Below are 19,392 nucleotides of genomic sequence, written 5' to 3' on the forward strand. Positions count from 1 at the left end.
GGCTGCTGCAGAGGTCACAGTAACGCTTTCAGATGCCCTGGGCAAAGTGGGCTAAATGCTTTTTAACTCTGGGTCACCTCTTTCTAGCCCTCAGTTGACTCCAAAGAGTAATTACAACTCATAGTGAACAGAGGCAAATTCGTCTCAGGCTCAACATTAATAATTTACCATTAGTTATAAATCTTAAAAGAAAACATTCCCTGGCCAATGCACATATCTAATATTAAGATGATAAGATTTTTATTCTTAGAAAAAAAGATATATGAAAAAATGGAAATAAAAATACTTGAAGGAGGAAAACAAACCACTTCTATCAACTATATCCTTATCAGTTATACCACAAAATAATCTTATTATCAAACACACAATCCTAAAATTACAGGTTATTTCCCCTCCTGTATTACATATGTATAGAATAACTAACCAAGGATTTTTAATTCTTTCTTCAAAGTGTATATCCTACCTCCCATTTCTTTTTATTCTCATTGCCAACAAGTCCAAATCAGCCCACCCCTAAATTATTACAAAAGCCTTACTCCCTTAAGTGCTTTCATTCATTTATTCATTCATTCATTTATTCATTGAACAAGCATTTTCTGAGCACTTGCTATGTACCAAGTCCTCTTTTTCATGGATTATTTTTCTAATGGGAAAAATGACAGAATGCTAGTAAATTGGTAGAAGCAAACTAATGGAGGTGTAGAAATTGATACATGACAGAGAATTGCTGGAGTGATGCCCTTGAGGAAATGGACAGACAGGAGGAGGGGTGGCCTTCACCAGGACCATGGAAGCAGAGTCGCATGAGAAAAGGTCGGTTACAGGAACACAGGTATGGGTAAGGGGAAAGACATGGAAGCAGGAGCTTGTGGAAGTTCTCTTCCATAGCTCCCAGCTTCTCCGCGAAGTAGGGAGCAGGCTCATTAGCATAAAGGTTAGAGTCAAAACTTCTTCCTCCTGCCAAATCCTCCTAATCCAAACATTAATTATAGTCAAACACCTCCTCCTCAGACATCGGGCACATATTGACTTCCCATTTCACGGACCTCCTGCAGCCCCTTCAACTCCTGTGACCTTCCCAGGCTTGCTCTGCTGTTCCCTACTGACATGGTGGCTGAAGGGGTACAGGATAAACCCTTGATTCCATCATAACACACATTGTATGTCAGCAATTCAACGGCATAAAACTTGAAAGTAAATATCACTAAGTAGGTGATACCCATAACCAAGGAAACATTTATTTTATTCATATGAACAGGTATAAACAGAGAATAATAAAAATGTTTTTCTAATTGTACATAAACAGTAGAAGGTCCCTGTTGATCTGAGAAGTGCCATAGGCATGGCTACTTTGCCTATAGCCCTTGGCCACTCTTGAGTGGTATAATAGCGTGGCAGGCAATTTGAGTAAAAACTGCTTTGTCGAAAAGCATCCAAGTTAAAGCAGATCTTGTTTAAACTCAGACACTGACACATATAAGGGCACAATAACTTCTAGCTAGTTATTATTACTTTAATGGTCAGGAAGAAACTTGCAATAGTCAAGAAGTGAACATTTTCCTTGATAAAATGAGAAAACGATCACCAATGAATATTCCTAGTCACTGGATATTCTACATATTAATCATTATCTTGCTACTAAGAAAAACTTTCTGTCCTTTCCTTTTTCTTAATGCTGTATCAGGCAAGACCAAGTTTAAATTTTCACTTCCCAATTTACTAGCTATGTGATTTGGTTATTAAAGCAAAGATATTAAACCAACCTCCACTTCTTACACATCTTACTCTCTTCATTTCCTCATGATGACTTAAAATAATATATTTGGAATTACCACTTTCCCTCCCATTGCTCAGATTTTGTGCTCTCTTCAGACCCTCTTGCTATCTCCTGTTATAGAGAAACTCTCTGGCCCTATTTTCTCAGTGGTCCAAAACAATTTCAGTAAATAATGTTAGCTAGATGCTGTTGTTTTCTCCTTTTAAGGAGAAAATGTGGCAATTAGCACATTCTGCTTATTTCTACCATGGCCCATCACATCTTGGCAATATTTGAAAGCTGCATAAAGAGGTTTCATGCAGGACAACGTGATCTAAGAGGCAGGAGCTAGTGGGAGCAGGTTGTTTCAGATGAGAAAATGGAGGGCATCAACCTATAGACAGCCTTCCTGGAACAATTTAGAATGATTGTAGCCCCACAGGAGGAGCACTCCCCAGATTCAGGCTTGCACAAGAGGCAGAGTGACAATTCCTCCCTACTTGGAACATCAACGTTCCTACAGATGAAAAGAGATGCCTGTCTGATCTGAATAGCTGGAACTCTGGGATAGGAGTAAGGCTGGGAGGTGGATTCCTTTCCTGCTGGCCTGGCAGAGGAGCTGAGGTAGCTCCCACCCTTCTCCCTGATAAAAACCTCAGCACATCTAATTGAGAGCTCCCCCAGCCACCTTCATGGAGACTGGGACCTCTAGGTATTAGCACTGGGTATTACATCTACGCACCTGACCTAGCTACAACTGGTTCCTACTCAGGGATACCCCCCCTACTGGCCTGAAGCGTGAATCATCAACTCAGTAAATAAAATACTAGGGGAAAATTAAATAAATAAATAAAGTTTGCACCTCAAGAGAATGAGATAAGCTTCAAGATATCCCTGCCATTCCAACCCAATAGAAGACAGTGAATTTGCCCACACACCAAACACATAATTACTACAACCAGCATCTAGGAAAGCCAGTGCACAAAGTCTACAACTTAGGAACTCATACAGAGTCTTTACCCCTAACAGTACAAAGAATCAAATTAGGCTATAATAAACTATAAACATTAAAGTCTGATCCTTAAAAGGAAAAATAGGAACTCATTGAAAAACAGAGTTAAATCAAAAATAAATTCAAGAACAATCTGAAGAAACAGTCTACCCAAATGAGAAGGAACCAGAAAAGTAATTCTGGCAATATGACAAAACAGGGTTCTATAACACCCCCAAAAGATCACACGAGTTCCACATTAATGAATCCAAACTAAAGGGAAATCTCTGAAATGCTAGATAAAGAATTCAGAAGGTTGATTATTAAGTTACTCAAGGAGATAACAGAGGAAGGTTAAAACCAACATAAAGAAATTTTTTTAATCTAGGAAATGAATAAAAAATTTTCCGGAGAGATAGATATCATAAGGAAAAACCAATCAGAACTTCTGGAAATGAAAGACACACTTAAGGAAATACAAAATGCAATGGACAGTTTCAACAATAGACTAGAACATGTAGAAGAAAGAATTTCAGAGCCCAAAGAAAAGGCTTTCAAATTAACCCAATCAGTCAAAGATAAAGAAAAAAGACTCAAAAGACATGAACAAAGTCTCCAAGAAATATGAGATTATATAAAACAGTCAAACTCAAGAATAATTGGTGTTCCTGAGGGAAAAGAACAAATAAGTTTGGAAAACTTATTTTAGGGAATAATTGAGGAAAACTTCCCTGGCCTTACTAGAGATCTAGATATCCAAATACAAGAAGCTCGAAGAACTCCTGGGAAATTAATTACAAAAAGATCATCACAAAAGCACATAGTTATCAGGCAAACCAAAATCAGCATGAAGAAAAGAATTTTAACAGAAGTAAGACAAAAGCATCAGGTGACCTATAAAGAGAAACCGATCAGACTAACAGAAGATTTCTCAGGAGAAACCTTACAAGCCAGAAGGGATTGGGATCCTATCTTTAGCCTCCTTGAACAAATTAATTTTCAGCCAAGATTTGTATAGCCAGTAGAACTAAGCTTCATAAATAAAGGAGAGAGAAAGTCTTTTTCAGACAAACAAATGCTGAGGGAATTTGCCACTACGAAACTAGCACTACAAGAAATGCTAAAAGAACTTCTAAATCTTGAAACAAAAGTTCAATGTGCACCAAAATAGAACCACCTTAAAGCATACATCTCAGAGGGCCTATAAAACAATAATACAATGTAAAAAAAGTATCTAGGTAACAAGTAACATGATGAATAGAATAGTACCTCACATCTCAGTATTAACAATGAACGTAAATGGCCTAGATGCTCCACTTAAAAAATACGGAATAGCAGAATGGATAGAAAACAACCAACCAAATATCTGCTGTCCTCAAGAGACTCACCTAACACATAAGGATTCAAATAAACTTAAAGGACAGGGGTGAAAAAAGATAATCCATGCAAAAAGAAATGAAAAGCAAGCAGGAATAGCAATTCTTATATGAGACAAAACAGACTTTAAAGCAACAATAGTAAGAAAAGGCAAAGAAGGACATTATATATTGATGAAAGGATTAGTCCAATGAGAAGACATTACAATCCTAAATACATACGCACCTAACACTGGAGCTCCCAGATTTATAAAACAATTACTACCAGACTCAAAAAATGAGATAGATAGCAACTCAATGGTAGTGGGGGACTTCAATACTCCCAATAGACAGATCATCAAGACAGAATGTCAACAAAGAAATGGTGGACTTAAACTATATCCTAGAACAAATGGACTTAACAGGTATTTACAGAACACTCTTCCCAACAACTGCAGAATATACATTCTTCTCTTCAGTACATGAAATATTCTCCAAGATGGACCATATGATAGGCCACAAAACAACTCTCAATTAATTTAAGAAAGTCAAAATCATATGAAGTATCTTCTCAAACCACAGTGGAATAAACCTGGAAATCAACTCTAAAAGGAACCCTCCAAATCAAACAAATACTTGAAAATTAAATAATGTGCTCTTGAATGATTAATCAATATGAAAATTTAAAAATTATTTGAAATGAATGATAACAGTGACACAACTTATCAAAACCTCTGGAATACAGCAAAAGTGGTGCTAAAAGGAAAGTTCATAGCATTAAATGCCTATATCAAAAAGTCTGAAAGAGCACAAATTGATAATCTAATGTCACACCTCAAAAAACTACAGAAACAGGAACAAATTAAACCCAAACCCAGCAGAAGAAAAGAAATAACAAACATCAGAGTATAACTAAATGAAAGTGAAACAAAAAAGTACAAAAGATAAATGAAACAAAAATCTGATTCTTTGAAAAGATAAACAAAATTGATAGGCCATTAGTGAGACTAACCATGAAAAGAAGAGAGAAGATCCAAATAAGCTCAATTAGCAATGAAACTGGAGACATTACAACCAATACCACAGAAATAAAAAAGATCATTCAGGGCTACTATGAACACCTTTACATGCACAAATCAGGAAATATAGAGGAAATGGACAAAATCTTGGAAACATACAACTCTCCGAGATCAAATAAGAAATAGAAACTCTGAACAGACCAATAACAAGCAGTAAGACTCAATCAGTAATAAAAACACTGCCAACAAAAAGCCAGGACAAGACAGATTCTCAGCTGAATTCTACTAGGCATTCTAAGAAGAATTGGTGTTGATTCTACTGAAACTATCCCAAAGATAGAGAGAGAGGGAATCATCCCTAATTCATTCTAGGAAACCACTGTCACCCTAATACAAAAACCAGGAAAGGACATAACAAAAAAAGAAAACTACAGATTAATAACCCTGATGAATATAGATGGAAAACTTCTCAATAAAATACTAGCTAACCAAATCCAACAGCATATCAAAAAGATAACACATCGTGATATGATCATATACGCAGAAAACCTAAAAACTCATCCAAAAAGCTCCTAGATCCAATAAATGGATTCAATAAAGTCTCAGAATACATAATCAATGTACACAAACCAGTAGCACTGCTACACACCAAGAATGACCAAGCTGAGAATCAAATCAAGAATGCAACTCTTTTTACAAAGACTGCAAAACAAATAAAATACTTAGGAATATACTTAACCAAGGAAGTGAATGATCTCTGCAAGGAAAACTACCAAACACTGCTGAAAGAAATCAGAGATGACATGCACAAATGGGAACATATCCCATGCTCATGGATAGGAAGAATCAATATTAAGAAAATGACCATACTATCCAAAGCAATATACAGATTCAATGGAATTTCCATCAAAATATCATCATCATTCTTCACAGAATTAGAAAAAAAATCCTAAAATTCATATGGAACAAAAAAAGAGCCCACATAGCCAAAGCAAGGCTAAGCAAAAAGTGTAAATCTGGAGGCATCACATTACCAGACTTCAAATTATACTACAAGGCTATAGTTAGCAAACAGCATGTTACTGGTATAAAAATAGGCATGGAGACAATGGAACAGAATAGAGAACCAAGAAATAAAGCCAAAGACTTACAGCCAACTGATCTTCAACAAAACAAACAAAAACATAAATTGGGGGAAAGGATACACTATTCAATAAACGGTTCTGAGATAACTGGCAAGCCACATGTAGAAGAATAAAACTGGATCCCCATCTCTCACCTTAAACAAAAATCAAATCAAGATGGATCAAAGACTTAAATCTAACACCTGAATCAGAAAAACTCTACTGGACATTGGCTTAGGCAAACAATTCATGACTAAGACCCCAAAACCAAATGCAACGAAAACAAAAATAAATAAATGGGACCTAATTAAACTAAAAACCTTCTGCACAGCAATATAAATAATCAGCAGAGTAAACAACAGACAACCCACAGAGTGGGAGAAAATATTCACAAACTATACATCCAACAAAGGACTAGTATCCACAATCTACAAGGAACTCAAAACAAGTCAACAAGAAAAAAACAAATAATCCCATCAAAAAGTGGGCAAAGCACATGAATAGACAGTTCTTAAAAGAAGACATAGAAACAACCAGCAAACATATGAAAAATGCTCAACATCACTAATCATCAGGGAAACACAAATTAAAACCATAATGAGATACCACCTTACTCCTGCAAGAATGGCCATAATTAAAACGTTTTTTTAAAAAATCCAAAACAATAGATGTTGGTGTGGATGTGGTGAAAAAGGAACATTTTTACACTGCTGATGGGAATGTAAACTAGTACAATCACTATGGAAAACTGTAAGAAGATTACATAAAGAACCAAAAGTAGAACTACCATTTGATCTAGCAATCCCACTACTGGGTACCTACCAAAAGGAAAAGAAGTTGTTTTATGAAAATGCATGTTTGTAGCAGCACAATTCACAATTGCAAAGATATGAAACCAACCTAAGTGCCCATCAACCAACAAGTGGATAAAGAAAATGTGGTATAAGATGTACAAAGAAGAGCTGGTACCATTCCTACTGAAACTATTCCAAAAAATTTTAAAGGAGGAACTCTTCCCTAACCCATTCTATGAGGCCAGCAACATCCTGATACTAAAACCTGGCAGAGATACAACAAAAAAGGAAAACTTCAGGCCAATATCCTTGATGAACATCAATGCAAAAATCCTCAACAAAATACTGGCAAACTGAATCCAGCACCACATCAAAAAGCTTAACCACCACAGTGAAGTAGGCTTCATTCCTGGAATGCAAGGTTGGTTCAACATACGCAAATCAATAAATGTGATTCATTACATAAAGAGAACTAAAGAAAAAAAACAACATGATTATTCTCAATAGATTCAGAAAAGGCTTTCAATAAAATTCAACATCCCTTCATGCTAAAATCTCTCAATAAACTGGTATTGAAGAAACACACCTCAAAATAGTAAGAGCCATATATGACAAACCCACTTCCAATATTATACTAAATGGGCAAAACCTGGAAGCATTTTCCTTGAAAACCAGCACAAGAATGCTCTCTTACAACTCCTATTCAACATAATATTGGAAATTCTGGCCAGGACAATCAAGCAAGAGAAAGTAATAAAGGATGTTCAGATAGGAAGAGAGGAAATCAAACTATCCCTGTTTTCAGATGACATGATCCTATATCAAGAAAACCCCATTGTCTCATCCCAAAAATTTCTTAAGCTGGTGATCAACTTCAGCAAAGTCTCAGGATACAATTCAATGTGCAAAAATCACTAGCATTCCTATACACCAACAACAATCAGGCCAATATCCAAATCACAAATGAACTCCCATTCACAACTGCCACAAAAAGAATAAAATACCTAGGAATACAGCTAACAAGGGAAGTGAAGGATCTCTATAAGGAGAACTACAAACCACTGCTCAAAGAAATCAGAAAGGACACAAACAAATGGAAAAACATTCCATGTTCATGGATAGGAAGAATCAATACTGTGAAAATGGCCATACTGCCCAAAGCAATTCATACATTCAATGCTATTCCCATGAAACTATAATTTGACGTCCTTCACAGAACTAGAAAAAGCTATTTTAAAATTCATATGGAACCAAAAAAGTGCCCAACTAGCCAAGGAGATCCTAAGCAAAAAGAACAAAGCTGCAGGTATCATGTTACCTGACTCCAAGCTATACTACAGGGCTATAGTAACCAAAACAGCATGGTATTGGTACAAGAACAGACACATAGACCAATGGAACACAATAGATAATTCAGAAATAAGATTGCACACCTACAACCATCTGATGTTTAAGAAACCTGACAAAAACAAGCAATGGGGAAAGGATTCCCTATTTAATAAATGGTGCTGGGATCACTGGCTAGCCACAAGCAGAAAATTGAAACTGAACCCCTTTCTTATACCACACACAAAAATCAACTCAAGATGGATTAAAGACTTAAATCTAAAACCCAAAACTATAAAAACCCTAGAAGAAAACCTAGGCAATACCATTTAGGACATAGGCACTGACAAAGATTTCATGATGAAGATGCCAAAAGTAATTGCAACAAAAGCAAAAATTGACAAATCAAATCTAATTAAACTAAAGAGCTTCTGTACAGCAAAAGAAACTATCAACACAGCAAAAAGACAGCCTACAGAATGGGAGATAATTTTTGCAAACTATGCATCTGACGAAGGTCTAATATCCAGCATCTATAAGGAGCTTAAACAAATTTACAAAACAAACAAACAACGCCATTAAAAAGTGGGCAAAGGACATGAACAAACACTTTTCAGAAGAAGGTATACATTCAGCCAACAAGCATATGAAAAGCTCAACATTACTGATTATTAGAGAAATGCAAATCAAAACCCCAATGAGATGTCATCTCACGCCCATCACAATGGCTATCACTAAGAAGTCAAAAAATAACAGATGCTGATGAGGTTGTGGAGAAAAAGAAATGCTTTTACATTGTTGATGGGAGTGTAAATTAGTTCAACCATTGTGGAAGACAGTGTGGCAATTCCTCAAAGACCTAAAGACAGAAATTCCATTCGACCCAGCAATTCCATTACTGGGTATATACCCAAAGGAATAGAAATTGTTCTATTATAAAGAAACATGCATGCACTATTCACTTGTTCATGCACATGTTCATTGCTGCACTATTCACAATAGCCAAGACATGGAATCAACGTAAATGCTCAAAAATGATAGACTGGGTAAAAAAAAGTGATACATATAAAGAAAATGTGATACATATACACCATGGAATACTATGCAACCATAAAAAAGAATAAGATCATGTCCTTTGCAGGAACATGGATAGAGCTGGAGGCCATTATCATTAGCAAACTAATGCAGAAACAGAAAAACAAATACTGCACATTCTTACTTATAAGTGGGAGCTAAATGATGAGAACACATGGACTCATAGAGGGGGAACAAGGCACACTGGGGTCTACTGGAGGGTGGAGGATGGAAGGAGAGAGAGGATCAGGAAAAATAACTAATGGATGCTAAGTTTAATACCTGGGTGATGAAATAATCTATATAACTAACAATGTAACAAACCTGCACATCCTGCACATGTACACCTGAACTTAAAAGTTAAAAAATAAGTAAATAAATAAATGAAATATTTTTAAGAACAAAATGTATATATACACTATGGAATACTACTCAGCTATAAAAAGGAACAAAATAATGTCTTTTGCAGCAACTTGGGTGGAGCTGGAGGCCATTATTCTAACTGAAGTAACTCAGGAATGGAAAACCAAATATCATATTATCGGGGGAACCAGCTCCCAATATTTCAATGTAGGTTCTATTTTCCCTAAGTGTCGGCCAGTCTGAGAAATAAAGAGAAAGAATACAAAGAGAGGAATTTTACAGCTGGGCCTCCAGGGGGTGACATCACATATCGGTAAGTCCGTGATGTCCCACCTGAGCCGCAAAACCAGCAGGTTTTTATTAAGGACTTTAAAAGGGGAGAGGGTGTATGAACAGGGAATAGGTCACAAAGATCACATGCCTTAAAGGGCAATAAAGATGACAAGGCAAAGGGCAAAGCAAAGATCACAAGGCAAAGGGCAAAATTAGAGTTACTGATGAGGTTCTATGTTCAGCTGTGCACATATTGTCTTGATAAACATCTTAAACAACAGAAAACAGGGTTCAAGAGCACAGAACCAGTCTGATCTCAAATTTACTAGGGTGGGATCTTTTCCCCACTCTAATAAGCCTCAGGGTACTGCAGGAGACCAGGGCATATTTCTGTCCTTATCTCAACCGCATAAGACAGACACTCCCAAAGTGGCCGTTTATAGACCTCCCCCCAGGAATGCATTCCTTCCCCTGGGTATTAATTATTAATATTCCTTGCCGGGAAAAGAATTCAGCGATATCTCTCCTACTTGCATGTCTGTTTATAGGCTCTCTGCAAGAAGAAAAATATGGCTCTATTCTGCCTGACCCCGCAGGCAGTCAGACCTTTGGTTGTCTTCCCTTGTTCCCTAAAATTGCTGTTATTGTATTCATTTCCAAGGTGCACTGATTTCATATTGTTCAAACATGCATGTTTTACAATCAGTTTGTACAATAGTGGTCCTGAGGTGACGTACATTCTCAGCTTACGAAGATAACAGGATTAAGAGATTAAAGACAGGCATAAGAAATTATAAGAGTATTATTTGGGAACTGATAAATGTCCATGAAATCTTCACAATTTATGTTCAGAGATTGCAGTAAAGACAGGTGTAAGAAATTATAAAAGTATTAATTTTGGGAACTGATAAATGTCCATGAAATCTTCACAATTTATGTTCCTCTGCCGTGGCTCCAGCCGGTCCCTCCGTTCGGGGTCCCTGACTTCCCACAACATCATATGTTCTCAATTATTAGTGGGAGCTAAACTGTGAGTATGCAAAGGCATAAGAATGATATAATGGATTTTGGGAACTCAGGAGGAAGGGTGGGAGTGGGGTGAGGAAGGGTGGGAGTGGGGTGAGACTATATATTGGATAGAGTGTACATTGCTCAGGTGATGGGTACACTAAAGTCTCAGAAATCACCACTTAAGAACCTATCCATGCATCCCAAAACCACCTGTACCCCAAAAACTATTGAAATTTTTTAACAGTAAAGAAAATGGTGGGCATCAAATCATCAAGTCATCCTTGCAAAACCAGCTCTGATATGTGAAATTGTATAAAAAGGGCTGTGTCACCAATAATACACCATGCTTTCCGCACCCTCAAGAGTAGAGAAGATTAGTGAGCTGCATACAGCAGAAAGGTTGTAAATACTATAGCCAATAACAAAATATTCACCAACAAGTGTAGTCAGGGTTTTTTATTTGGGGATTAAGAAGGGGATGGTGTGCTAGAGGCTAACTTTGCCACAGATAACTTTTGTTTTCTTATTTCTAATTTAGTTTTAGCCAAGAATACGTGCCCTGTGTAATATGAGTTAGGGAAAAGCTGGAAATAATTTGCATATCTAAAAAAAGGAGATTGGCTGAATGAATCATGATTTTAACCAAGTATTGGGATTCGATCCAGATATTAAAACTGAAGCTATAGAAAAGCACTCATTAATATCAGTATTTGTGTATGTGTGTTTGTGTGTTCACATAGAAAGGAATTTGGAATCTGGACAATAAGCTATTTTCTGTGAGTTTTTTCCATTTCTGGGTTAGTAGGATTACGAATATTCTTAATGGGATTTTTTCTTCATTTTCTGCAGAGAATATACTGATTTTCTAATAAGAAAACAATATAAGAAACTTTAATCAACAAATTATAAACTTTTTTCAGATTTGAAGTTTTGTTGTTTTTATTTTGTTATATGTATTCATATTCCTTTAATTTCTAATTCACTTTTGTCTGTGATGTCTGCTTGACTTGACAATATTTTCAGATATTTCTATCTGTGATAGGATCATAAAATATATGCCATTGGTAACCTATTTTTTTATTTAATATTGTAAATATGCTTCTGGGTCAACAAATACATTACTGTATTACCAGCTTAGTGTTATTTATCTAACCAACCTCCCCTTTCGTGTGTGTGTGTGTGTGTGTGTGTGTGTGTGTGTGTGTGTGTGTATGTGAAGCAACGAAAGCACAGATTTATGGAAATGAAAGTACACTCCACAGAGCAGGGGCAGGCTGAAGCAAGCAGCTCAAGGGCACTGGTTACAGAATTTTCTGGGGTTTAAATACCCTCTAGAGGTTTCCCATTGGTTACTTGGTTATACCCTCTATAAATGAAGATTTGGCCCACAACTAGTCTGATTGGTTGCAAGAGTCAACCAATCAGAGGCTAAAGTGAAGTTAACAAAGTTACACATGAAGACTTGGCCCACAACCAGTGATTGCTTGTGGGAGGGGACCAATCAAAGGTACTTTCCATTTTTCATCTGTGATGCAGTGGAAAGGGGCCAATCTCCCATTTTAATGCATAATTCTCACAATTGGCTAAAATGAATTAAGAAATAAAATGTCAAGTTCACAAAAAAAATTAAAATAACTAAGAATGTTAAGTGCCCAGAAAGAATGTAAAACTTCCTGAATATTATCAATAGATTTTAAAAATCAGTGATGAGAAATATTCAAATGTAGTAATTTTGTATTTTGATTATATTGTCACTGAAACTAATTTACTTTCAAAATTTTCCCAAATTGGCTGGAGCCCAATGGAAGGGAAGCTCCAGCATTTGTAGTGAGGGTAATTGTGGGTAGGAGAAAGGGAGAAGAAGGCAGACTCGAAAATCTCTGTGGAAGGGGGAGGAGAATTTATAATTTTAATTTGCTTCATCAGTCCTGAAGTAAATAAACCCGTCTTTGGAGAATAAAGAAAATCTGTAAGTTAAAAATGCAGCACTAAAATCACATTTTATAAGAGACTTGTATCCCTCCTCATCAGATGGGTTCACATGACTTTCCTAAGATATTGAAAGGTTTTCTATCCGATCTTTGTATGTAATATCTAGAAGTCTGAATCAAAAGGTTACAAAAACTAGGAATGAGCAACGAAATTTAGGGAAAAAAGGCTTAAAATAACCTTTCAGTACATGAAGAGTCATTAAATGTTGGGTAGTGACCATTTGCTTTGCCTGGCCACTAAACCCAAAAAGAATTTCAAGTCATAAGAGAAAAACTTCAATTATATGTAGGAACACTAGATTTTTTTTTATTTTCTGGCTATAGAAATGTTCATAGGCCAAAACAGTAAAAATAATTTATAAAGCACCTGCCTGAGAGTCTTTTTCTCCCTCAGTCTGTTATGAAGATGGTAAAAAATGAAATAGATGAGCACATGTTACAACTTGGCTTCAAGAAAGGACTCAAACTAAATGTTCCTTTTCAGGTTTCTCTAATCCTACTGTTTTATGGTCTCTATTAAGAGGACCTTAATGGGAACCAATTAACTGTAAATACAGTGAGGAGTCTGGGCAATTAAACAAATGGATTATGTTCACCCAGTGATTACACTCCAGTCATCAAATGATTTTCCAGCATTGCCTACTCTGAGTCACAAATACAAATTAAATTCAGATCCAACAGCCTTGAAATTTCTCATTATACATCAACTGCCATTTGCTTGTCTCTAATGATTTTTTGTAGAAAAAAAAAAGCTGGCATTATAGGTTGACATCACATATTTTGTATTTGTATTCAAGCCAAATAGCACTAGCTTTTAAAATTCAAGTACATAACTAAATAATTATGGTGATTTCACAAAAAAGATAATACAATCTCCCAATAATACATAATTATACAAATGCCTTTCTCTAAATATAAAGTCACATAAAAATGTGTATTCCTGCTCCTTAACAGACTAAGAAATAAAAAGAGACAGTTGAGCAACTTCCATGTAAACATTTGATAGTCTTTATTCAAGGTAGCAGAGACCCTCACAGGAGAATATTCTTACCTCATTCTGATTTACTTTTATTACTATCTCATCTTTTTTTTTTTTTTTGAGACAGAGTCTCACTGTGTTGGCCAGACTGGAGTGCAATGGCATAATCTTGGCTCACTGCAACCTCTGTCTCCCAGGCTCAAGCAATTCTCCTGCCTCAGCCTCCCGAGTAGATGAGATTAAAGGTGTGCACCACCACGCCTGGCTAATTTTTGTATTTTTTTAGTAGAGACAGGGTTACACCATGTTGGCCAGGCTGGTCTCGAACTCCTGACCTCAGGTGATCTGCCTGCCTTGGCCTCCTAAAGTGCTGGAATTACAGGCATGAGCCACCATGCCTGGCCTATCACATCTATTTTAAAATGATCATTACCTCATCAGCCTGGTATTGCTATTTTGTTTGCAAAGTTGGTACAGGGAGTAGCACCCCAGAACTACAGGGAGGCAGACAGTCTCTCTGGGCATGACTGGGGGAAAAAATTCTCAACTCAATGTAACTGTGAGGAAAATCTAAAAACAGACTTCAGGGACATCTTTAAAGACTTCCAAATATTCAGCATAGAAGAATTTGTTCAGAGAGCATGGGGGGAAAAATAAGATTTTTTCAGACAATCTGGCATGTACAGACTTTGAGGCCACCCTACAACCATATCTCTGTTGTGACAGTCAAAGTTGTTTTCATTGTTAACTTGAAGCAGATGTTGTAGGTGTCCTATTAACATCCCCTGACCCTTACTTCTTGCGAGCACACTGGACTGAATTCCAACCATTTGCAGGTTTGTCTGAGGATTTTCTTTAATCTCATGACTTTCTGTGTCTGCAACATGATGAGCCTGAAGTGCTGATGAATTACTGTACCCCAGAAACAGACCTTACCCAGTGACTTCAAGAGCAAGTGTATAAATACTGCTCTTTCTCCTTTTGGGTATTCAAATAAATGGCTCCCAAGTACCTCAACAGATTTGAGTTCTAATTGCCCACAGTGGTAACTTGCCCAAGAAATCCTTTATCTGCTTACTTCCCTACCCTGTCTCACTTCCCCTACTCTTTTATTCATGTTTCCTAGGATCACCTCCAGAATAAACCACTTGCACTTCAATTCTTTTCTCAGGGTCTGCCTTCAGGGCAACCCAAACTAAGAGACAAGAGAAAGAAACCCAGCAAGGTTAGGCAAATAGGGGACTTTATTGATAGGCTCCTGTAAGTGCAGGAAGAGCAAAGTTGCAGCTGGGACTTAAGAAAATGGAATCTTGAGCCTGGACATTGCCATCTCTTATTCTAAGTATTGACCTCATGCTGTCAGACTGACTTCCTCCCTGGCTACAACCATGGCCACCAAAACACTGCTGGGCCTTTTGCCTCCCAGCTTCAACTTTTAACTGAGCCTCAGCTCAACACGTTCTCAAGAAAGAATTCTGAATGGTTAAACTTGAATCAAGAAAACACTTCTACTTTTAACATTTTGGGCTATAGGGACATGCATACTAGAATTGTTCCACCATGTAAGGCCAAGGAGGCAGGATCTCTAAAGCAATGGGACTTTTGGCATTGATACTTTTTTGAGTATTCCCAATGTATAAGCCATTTAAACCATGTGCTTGAAGTAAAGGCAGGGAAGAAATATTTTCCTAAAGAATGAGGCTGTTGCTTCCAGCCTGACAATAGGTAATGTTTATTAAATCCCTGCTATGCTACAGATAATACTATCTACTTATCAATCGATTGATCAATCTATTGCCATCCATCCATCCTTCCATCCATCCATCCAACTATCTTCTCAATCCTCATAACAACCCTATGTTGTAGAAATTATCATTACTGCCCTCTGCCCCCATTTCAGGTGAGGAAATTTAGGCCCAGAAAAATTAAGTAGCTTGCCCAAAGTCAAACAGGAAGGTGTAGATCCAGGATTGGGCCCAGGCAATCCAGGTCTAGAGTCTGCACTATGTCCTGTTGGCTCCTAGGGGAAGGGACAGCCACACATCACAGTTGCCCACTGTGCACAGATGCACCCATGTCCACTGGCATCTTACTTCTCTCACTGCTGAAGTTCTGAGCATTATTTACTAAATTTATGAAGAAAGTACACTTTGTTATGAAAATTACAGATGAACTCAGAAGAATTAAGGTGAGGAGGAGCTGAACAGACTGAGAGGCAAATGCTTTACTGAGGAATAGATGTGGCCTTCCTGGAACCCTAGAGTACTAAAATGAAATTGACCAATATATGTAAAATCTTCAAAACTTAACTGCCAAATGTGAGGATCCTAGAAGTATGCCTTTCAGTGAAAATGAAGGTTTTAAAATGGTTGAGTATTGCCAATGTATCAAGGTTACATAAAGTTAACATTTTAAAATCTTTATTTTGACATTTTATGATAGGCCATAAAATTGTCACAGTTTAACAGTTTATTGTCTTGTTTTAAAATGTTTTAAAGGATTTTTTTAAAATCCTTCTCCAAAGAGACGCTTGAATTTCAAAATATTGGCCTTCTAACTAATATTCTACTATTTTAGAGAAAACAATTTCTGGCACTTCAAAGGAAGGTTTTCTTGTGTTAGCATCGTGTCATTACTTCTAGGGTTGTTATGAACAGTCTGAAATGCCAAGATAAAAAAGTTAATAATTAAAATTAAATATAAAAATTAATAAAGTACTAATAGCTAAATGAGTTAAGAAATAAATTGATGTAAAGGGATATATGACTGGTAAGGTCACTTGGAGTAACTCATTCACAAGAATAAGACAAATTAAATGTAGCCCTGCAAAATAATGAAAATGTTTATTTAATTCTTTTGCCCCTAATATGGTAATTTCACTTTCATATTTCCCCATTGTTTGAATCCTCTGACTTCTCCACTCTTTCCATTATATGTTTACCCTCATCACCTTGCTATCTTTTCTCTTCTTTCCTTTTGATTTCTTGTGACCATTTTATCCGTCAACCAGACTCCCTTCTATACATATACTGTCATAATGTCTGAATTCGAGGAAAATATATCTGTTTATAAAATTCTTAGTTAGTGCATAGAATATGGCACATTTATTACATAGAAAACAGAGCATCCACCCCAGCCCCAATGGCCTTTCCCTCGAGTTCTGCAGCTCTGTGCTGGGAGGTCCCTGTTCTACCCTACTTTCTATATTATCCTGGAGACTCATTACAAGCATCATAGGGTTTTCTAACCCTTTAATCTTCTACACTTGACTGACACCATGGGTGTGTGTGTGTGTGTGTGTGTGTGTGTGTGTGTCTGTGTGTCCGTGTCCCCAAATTAAATTGAATTCTTCTAGTGGTAAAGAACTAAGTCATCTGCTCCTGTGAAGTAAATATTGGAATATCCACTTGAGGGACAGATAAAATGATGAATACACATCTCTCCTTCCCTTTTCCCAGTTTCATTCCACAGATATTCCCCCAAAAAAACCGCATTTCCATCAAGTAACTGTCAGGCTGAGAGATACCCTGTGGCTTTACAATGCCAAGAGGAAAATTCTAGGTCTTCCAGTGTCACAGCACAAACTCAACCCAGCCAAACTATAGCTCCTGCTTTTCACCAAATACGCTGAGCCTATTCAGAATTGAACTGAAAGATTTAATTTTCACAATTCAAAAAGACACTCTGGAGATACACCAAAAGTTTGGAGGCACAGAGAAATAAAACACCTATTTTACAGAAGAATTAAAGGCATTGAACATCCCCTAGCAGGGATGTGGCCCTATTCTACTAGTTGCCCAGTCCACTGTTATGCTGGGCCAAGCCCTGAAGTTTCTTATTGTGTCTGTTATTAACTTATTGCCTGTTGTCTCTTAATGTATTATTCAATAAACAATGGAATCCCTTTAAATATTTCTCCTTTAAAGTGAGCACAATATTAAGCTTTCTCTATACATGGATTGGAGGGACACTGCAGGAGGAAGAGGTTTCCTGCAATTTCTGACATGGGCCACGAGTAGGCAGTATAGGTATAGGACTAACCAGTAGAGCCTATCCCAACCATAGCCCATTCTCCCTCTGCAACCCTGCAGCCTCAGCCTGGTGATCATTTTTCTTCAACCTTCTCAAAACAGAAACCAGAGCCCCTGTGTAGCCTGCACCCTCTGAAGGCCTCCTGCTTGTGCAGTTCCTGGACTCGCCCCCTCTTCTCCCTTCCCTGTGGCCTTTAAACTCTGAAGGGCACCTGTGGCAGCTGGACTCCCACTATGTGCCCACACCGCAGATGCTGATGCCTTGCTCCCTCACCTGCACTTCAGAGGGTTGCTCCCAGCTTGCCTAGCAGCTCCAGAACAGCTTCAGCCTGGACCATCTAGCCAACTTTTCTGCTGTCTATTGGGCTACCACACTTTTTCCAATGAAATCTGAACCCCTTCCAAGTTTATCCTTCCTTGGTACTGTCACTCAACCCTAAAGTACCATGTAGTTTTCTTACATCTTATAGTTACTCTTTCATCATAATTGTTCTTCATATTAAACTTCCCCTATTTAGCCCACTGCATCATTTCTATCTCCTAGTTGGATCCAGGCTGCTATACTTCATTCTAAGGAGATGTGGGGCTAACGTGCCAACCGTTAGTGTTTAAAATAGACTATTTCTTTGTTTCACATGTCTTGATTCCTGAAGCCATTTGGGGGATTCTTCTTCTTTTTTAAAGAAATACGGTGCTGCATTATGATTTGTTGAATATGGCCACAAGTACCATGCACCTGCTTCCATCTAGAGATAAATGTATTTCACACATTTGGGCTGGCTCTTATGTGCTTTGACCAACAGAATATGGCAGAAGGGATGTTTAGTGACATCCAAGGCTAGCCCCAATCGGGCCTTGCAGCTCAGCTTTTACTTTCTTGGAATGTTACTCCACTACTGTCATGTAAACGAAAGGCCACCTGAAAAAGATCCAAGGGACTCTAGCCAAGCATCAACACGAACTGCCTTATTAATGAAGCCATCTTGGACTGCCCAGCCAAGCCAATAATTCAGCCAAATGCATCCACATGAGTTCAGGGGAACCAACAGAGGAATGATCAAGCAAACCTATATAAACCATCGTGGTTTTAAGCAACTAAATTTTGGGATGGATTGTTATGCATCCAATACATATCTGAAATATACATCTCTCCATCATCAAATGATTCTAATTTCTTAATTATTCAATAAATTAATTTGTGGTAAATACATGAGGAAACTTCTTTTGACCACACCCCTCCCACCCTCAGAAAAACATGTTAAAGTAACACATCTTATCACTATGTATTTCCTCTTGAATCTTGTT

General features: G+C 37.3%; 1 protein-coding gene across 26 annotated transcripts in view, besides 1 other annotated feature; it reads right to left on the reverse strand.

The window, feature by feature from the left end:
* NEK10 (NIMA related kinase 10) overlaps positions 1-19,392 on the reverse strand; it is a 262,900-nt gene that overhangs the window by 120,010 nt on the left and 123,498 nt on the right. The window lies entirely within an intron of this gene.
* Positions 10,332-10,532: a silencer, noted in NCBI's record as "peak4579 fragment used in MPRA reporter construct". NCBI's record gives its function as "represses an SCP1 promoter by STARR-seq MPRAs in K562 erythroleukemia cells {active_cell/tissue: K562}" and the evidence as "EXISTENCE:reporter gene assay evidence [ECO:0000049][PMID:32103011]".

The sequence above is a fragment of the Homo sapiens genome, chromosome 3 (assembly GCF_000001405.40).
Source record: "Homo sapiens chromosome 3, GRCh38.p14 Primary Assembly".
In the NCBI taxonomy this organism is placed as follows: Eukaryota; Metazoa; Chordata; class Mammalia; order Primates; family Hominidae; genus Homo; species Homo sapiens.